Consider the following 6,686-nt stretch of genomic DNA (forward strand, 5'->3'; position numbering starts at 1 on the left):
CAGGCTGGTTTCAAACTCCTGATCTCAAGTGATCCACCCGCCTCTGCCTCCCAAAGTGCTGGGATTACAGTCATGAGCCACCATGCCTAGCCCTTTTGCAGATTTTGATAGAAAGCTAGTCCTTATGGAAAGTAGCAGCCAAACTCCAGGGATTGGTGACCTTCAGTATAATTATGCAAATGATTCATTAACCTTATAGGGGATCAACCATCCCATTTGCCCTGGGTCAGCCCACTTTTAGCACTGAAAGACCCACATCCCCCAAAACTCCTTAGTCCCAATAAAATAAAGAGAATTGGTTACCCTAGCTGTCACTAGCCAACACTATAAAAGAATTAAGCAAAAAAGGAAAAAAAAAAAGAGAGGAAAGGGGGATAGGAATAAAGATTTTTTCACTCTAGAATGTGTTAGCTGGACATGAAGGCTGGTGCCTGTAGTCCCAGCACTGTGGGAAGCCGAGGCAGGAGGATAACTTGAGCCCAGGAATTCAGGACCAGCTTAGGCAACATGGGAGACCACGTCTCTACTAAAAATACAAAAAATTAGCCGGGTGTGGTGGTGCACACCTGTAGTCCCTGCTATTCAGGAGGCAGAGGTGGGAGGACCACCTGAGCTCAGGAAGTTGAGGTTGCCATGAGCCCTGATGCTGCCACTGTCCTCCAGCCTGGGCAATGGGAGTGAGACTGTGCCTCTAAAACAACAACAACAACAAAAAGTGTGTCAATGAGGACACACTGCCTTAATTTAATGACCTTAAATCAAATTAACTGGAATGAGGATATTTATTATTTCATATAACAGGAAGGTCAGAGGCAAGGGTACATTTCAGGGTAGGTTGAACCAGTGCCTGGACAATGCACATTCTCTCTCTGATTCCCTCCTCTGCTTACTGGGGCATCTGCTTCATTTCATCATGGGCTCCCTCTTGGTCCTAAGAGCACTACAGGCAGCAATGGAGCCAGTGAGATTTCCTGTTCACAGGATGGCAGGAGAGATGGTAAGTGGAATCACTTTCCTACCAACCCAGAGTAAACCTCTTCCTACATCTCACTCTCCCACAGCCTTAAGCCTACTTATCCCTGTAACAATAACTAGTACAGGGATTCCAGTTATTTGTATAGGAATCACCTAGGGGATGATGTGACCCTAGTGGGCTTGGATCAGTCATATACAGTGAAGGGATGGCAGCCACCATGTACACGCAGAAGGGCACAGGAAATGGATCAGAGGAGAACATGGATAAACAGTAAACCAGTGGAAGTCACTAGATCAAGGTTTCTCCTCAAGAAGTGAGACTTATCAGGGCAGTAGGTGATAAAATAAAAAATTGAGTTTTCATCCTTCAAGAAAAGGGACCAGTATGGTAACTTCCTTGTGGCCTGTTGTTAACCATAGTAAGGAAAGTTGGAGATGGGTGGATTGATCCAAGCTATGAGTAGGAGAGAGGACTCCCAACCTTGAAGCAGCATTTCTAGTCTAAGCATAACTAGATTCTGCAGCTGTGTTGCTTTGAACAAGTGATTTCACTTTATATGAAAATTCTACAATTGGAAGAAGGTTTGGGGAGGATTTGACCTATGTCCATTTGAGTAGTTCTCAGTTTGCTTCTTTAAATGTTCGTTTAATTAACTGCATTGATCTTTGTTCTTGTTGGGTGATGAATATATGAGTCTGTGTGGTACAATGGGAAAGGATAAAGGACATCAGAAAGAAAGAGAGAGAGAGAGAGAGATGGAGGAAGACAGGGAGAGAGGTAGGAGGGGAAAGAAAAAAGAAAGAAGGAAGGAAAGGAAAGGAAAGGACAGGAAAGGAAGGAAGGAAGAAGGAAGGAGGGAGGGAGGGAGGAAAAAGAAAGAAAGAAAGAAAGAAAGAAAAAGGAAGGGAGAGAAGGAATGGAGGGAGGGAGGAGAAAGAAGGGGAATGAGAAAGGAAGGAAGGAGAAAAAAGAGTGAAAAAAGAAGGTAGAAAGAAAGAAGAAAGAGAAAGAAAGAAAAGAAAAGAGAAGAGATCGAGAGAGAAAGAAAATAGAGAAGCAGGAATGGAGGGAGAAAGGAAAAGAGGAAAGAAGAAAGAAAAGGAAGACAGGAGGGAAGAAAGGACAAGAAGGAGGAATAAGGAGGCAAAACTGGAAAAACACGTTCCTGGGTTCTCCTGAGTTGTGAAAAGCCGAGCTCCAAAAGAAGGAATCACTCAGGTCACAGGTTCACCATGTCCTCAGCGGCATTCCAGACAAATGATCAGTTAAAAATTCAAGATGTCTACCTCTAAAATGGAAGCTGACTGTTGTCTTTTATAGCCTGAACTAAGAATTTCCTCGTTGTTTTTAAAGTGTAACCTCCTGAAACACACAGAGAGAATTTCAGAGACGCCTTAGGGTTTGGGCAGTCCAGGGGATTTGTAATTGTGCTCCCTGTCTCAGAAATGCCTCCCTGTGAGTGAACCACTTAAGAGAAGCTTGGGAACATCACCAGCACAGGGAGCTGTGTGAATGGAAGCTTGTTGGAAATGTTTAACATCTGAAGTGCCGTGTGCCAACTCTACTGTAGACAAGAATACTTTCATGTCTGTTATACATTGGTTTCAAATGGTTAAAATACATAATGACATTAAAGGGGGCTGTTTTTCAGCATTTTGAGGGAATTTCAGACACAACTCCCATTTATTTGTGTGAGTAGTCTGCCTTGCTTTCCTTGGACCCCTTTGAAAATGAAGCCCTGTGTGTTAATCTAATGTTGAGATGGAGAGAATTCATAACAGATTTCATCACACAACTGACTTGGCACCAAACTTCCTCGCCCAGAACAATAGAAAGGGCTCTCATCATGCCTGCCCTTTGGGGCTTAGCTGATCGTTTCTTCTTTAACGTCCAAACAGCACTTCCCCTTACCATAATTTTAATTCCTGTAGTTTAAATCACCTTCAAATAATATTTACTTTTTTCCCCCTATTTCTCGTTTGAGGTCCTTTCCATTTTGCCTGTCTTCGTCTGTGGCCTTTGGGTCCTCTTCTTGCCCTCCCTGCTGGCACCTGTCACTTCTAGTTTGCTTTTCATTTCCCTTCTGAGTCAAGTAAAGCCCTCACTTTACACCCAGAGCCTTCTCACCTCTGTTTATTATTCTAGGAGTAGATGAAGGAAAATGTGAAAGCAGACATTTGCTCAAGGGGGGAAAAAAAGAAACAAAACAAAAAAACATGTATATCGTTCATTTCTGATTACGGTAGCTCATGCCTGTAATCCCAGCACTTTGAGAGGCCAAGGCAGGTGGATCACCTGAGGTCACGAGTTCAAGACCAGCGTGGCCCAACATGGTGAAACCCCATCTCTACAAAAATACAAAAATTAGCAGGCCATCATGGTGCACGCCTGTAATCCCAGCTACTCAGAAGGCTGAGACAGAGAATCACTTGAACCTGAGAGGCGGAGGCTACAGTGAGCCAAGATCCAAGATCATGGCACTGCACTCCAGCCTGGGAGACAGGGAGAGACTCCATCTCAAAAAAAAAGGGCACTGTTCATTTCTGACTGTGCAGGAGGCTATGATCAAAAACCTGTTGCCACTCCATTCAGAAGTGGCGACTGTTTTGAGACAGTAGCAGCTCTAATTGGCAGTTTCAAATGTCCATGCTTCCCCAAAATAGCTTCATCAAGAAATAGAATTTACTTCTTTGCCTGAGCCTCCACTATCCATGTATTTATTTCTATTAGGCTGGTGCAAACATAATTGCTGTTTTTGAGATTACTTTTAATTCCGAAAACCTCAGTTAAGTTTGCACCAACCTAATATTGTAGCACCTATAGATCATGATTAAATTTACCATTTTTTTCTATGGAATAGCAATTCCCCAGAAGGTTGCCTTTTGGTTATTTTTGTAACCTTGAAAATCTGGCATAATGCTGGCACACAGTAGGCATCCAATAAATATATGTTGAATTAATGAGTAACGTAGTCACGTAAGTAAAAAGTATTAGAGCTGGTAGACAAAAATGGAGGCTCTGTCTTGAGAAGCTTTATGATGGTCTACAATTAAAAAACCTTCATGCTGGTCTTACGGTTCCTATTGCAGGACCATGTGAAACTTACGTTGATCAATGTGCAATTTGTATGAGTCACTGTTGTTTTCTACTTTCTTTTTGATGTCTCCTCTTTGGATCATCAGTATCTCTATTTGTGCATTATGAAGTTGAAGCTTAAGTGTTTATTTTATGTATATGATACATGATATAACTGTATACATAGGTTTATATTATGTGAATAATTAAATATAATTTTTAAAGGAAAAGGAGGTAGTGTTAGGTCCTCCTAGCTAGTAGCCTTACTCCTTGATATTTCTAAAATATGTGAGCTTCTCCAAGGAGAGTACATTACTCTCCAGGGAGACAGAAGTGTTTCAAAGCTGCAATCCTGTCATTTACCAAAAGACTTCTCTCCTGTTTTAAATATGTTAATACCTATTTAAATTACCAATCTCTCTGGTTGATTCTGTCACAGAGCTCTTTGATTTCAGGGTAAAGTTAGTGAAATTATCATTTTGACTCAACTGAACAATCAAGAGGTCAAAATGATTGTGATGTTCCATCTATCTGGAAGTGGCCTCCTTATTTCTGTTTCTGACTGTTCAGTAAAGAGTAATAAAGAGAGCCTCTTGATTCAATGAAAAGAAAATTGAGGAAGCACTTGCCCAGTGGTTGTTTTTGTTTGTTTGTTTGTTTGTTTGTTTGTTTGTTTTTAATAGTATGCACATGTACTAGTTGGTGACAGTCTACTCCTGGGCCACCAGTAGCAAGGGATGAGAGTGAGAGGCAGAGCAGAGCCCTGGCTGAGTCATCAGGACAACAGACTAGCCTGTTTATCAAACCTTGCCAGACAAGCAAAGGCTAACTGAGAAGATGGTTTTGTAACTTGAGAAAGGGTTGTTTTGATGGCACATCTTTAATAGATAAAATAATGAATTAACACATCCTTAGGGAATCACTTGGCTAAGGATTAAGGACCAGACAAACAATTATTTGAAAAGTGAAAGTCTGGGTAAATTAACCAATTTCTTTGTGTCCACAGAACTCATGTTCTGATTCTCTTTTTTCTCTCCCCCATCCCCCACCTCCACCCATTATGCCCACACAACTCAGGTTCTTAAGTGACCGAGAGTAACACGATCACAGGTCTCTTCCCAGAAAGCTTGCTTGTGCTCACGCTCCAGGCTCCCACATGCCAACATCTCCACCCAATTTCAATAAGCCACCAAACCATCACTTCTGGAGCCCCCACCCCCACCCCTATTCATAACCAGAAACAGTGACAGGATTATCTTAAAAACCAAGTAGCTGCCAGATACTGTTAAAATTTCCAGACCTTGAAAAAATGCAACTTCTCTCCAGACTGTGCATCCATCCAGTGAACACAAGTGTCCATGTGGCCAGATCCATGTGCTCACTCAAGTTCTGAGACATCTGGATGACGCCTGCAAGATTTTGGTGCTAAGTGCCCATTTATTCATCATAAAATCAAATTTACCATGTTATAAACTGAAGGCAGGGCTCTCCTTTATGGCCAGATCTAAGACAATGAATTCAAAGAATGAACTTTTACCTTCCCAGGTGTAGGTTTGAGACCCGGCCTAGGAAACGGGTGTGCCACACCAAGGTGAATTAAAAACTGCCAGCCAGCTAAAAGTTGCTCTTCCTAAAAAAAAAGGAACCAAGATGAAATTCTAGGCTCAGAGATGAAGAACTGGAGGCTTTGAAACAAAGGGGTAAAACTGGTTCCAGTTGCTTCCTGTAACATGTCTTCTTTCCCTTGTGGAAAATAATGATTTCCAAACACAACCGTCTTTTAAATCCAAGAACTTAACTGAGTATTTGTTTAGCTGTTGTCTGAAAAGGGTTTGGCTTTCACACATCACTTACACCCGTGGATTCAGGAGAGACTAAACAGCCTATTCAAATATCTTCCAAGTTATGAAGAAATCGATTTCAACTTAATGACTTTCAACCCGTCTTCCATCTTACAGTTGATATTCGACAAATATCTTTATAAAGGTAAATGCCTTTCTGAAACTTTAGAAGAAGTTTACCTCTTTTAACTTGAAATTACATTAATATACATGTTTTTTACATACTACAAATACTCTAATAAAAAGAAAACCTTGTAGCTTTATTTTTTCTGATTGTAGAAAGTTTGTAACATCTCCTGCTGTATTCATCTATTTTTCCTGTATTGCAGCAAAGTCCAGGTTAGGAGTAACTAGGTGGTAAGTAAGTATAACATCAGCTTCTTATTCTGAAGTCTATTCGGAAAAGTAGAGGTTAAAGGAAGGAATTAATCATTTATTCTGCCTTTTTTGGAAGAAATTGTAGTAGAAGGAGTTTTTTTAAATAGAATTCTAGCTAAAAATGGAGATTATAGAATTTAAAAGTTATTAATAAATGAAGAAATATGATTTTTTGACCTCCTTTGACTCTGACAAAGAGCATCAGTGGATGCTAACACTATAAAGTGAAATTAGTTGAAGGCTAGGAGACGCGAAGGTGTCAAAAACCCATCCCAAGACAGACTTGCTCATCACAAAGTGGGAAATGAACCTTACAATGGGGAGAAATCACTACCTGAATTAAGGGATCAAATTTAGCAACACAGTTAGAGGAGAAACCAGAAATTATGTAGCTCCTGCTATCATGCAACGTAAGG

At 40.9% G+C, this 6,686-nt stretch overlaps 1 annotated feature.

The window, feature by feature from the left end:
• Positions 5,237-6,436: an enhancer, noted in NCBI's record as "MED14-independent group 3 enhancer chr7:41665014-41666213 (GRCh37/hg19 assembly coordinates)". NCBI's record gives its function as "activates an origin of replication core promoter dependent on BRD2, BRD4, P300/CBP and CDK7 cofactors, and independent of MED14, by STARR-seq in HCT116 cells {active_cell/tissue: HCT116}" and the evidence as "EXISTENCE:reporter gene assay evidence [ECO:0000049][PMID:35650434]".

This window comes from Homo sapiens, chromosome 7 (assembly GCF_000001405.40).
Source record: "Homo sapiens chromosome 7, GRCh38.p14 Primary Assembly".
Taxonomy (NCBI): Eukaryota; Metazoa; Chordata; class Mammalia; order Primates; family Hominidae; genus Homo; species Homo sapiens.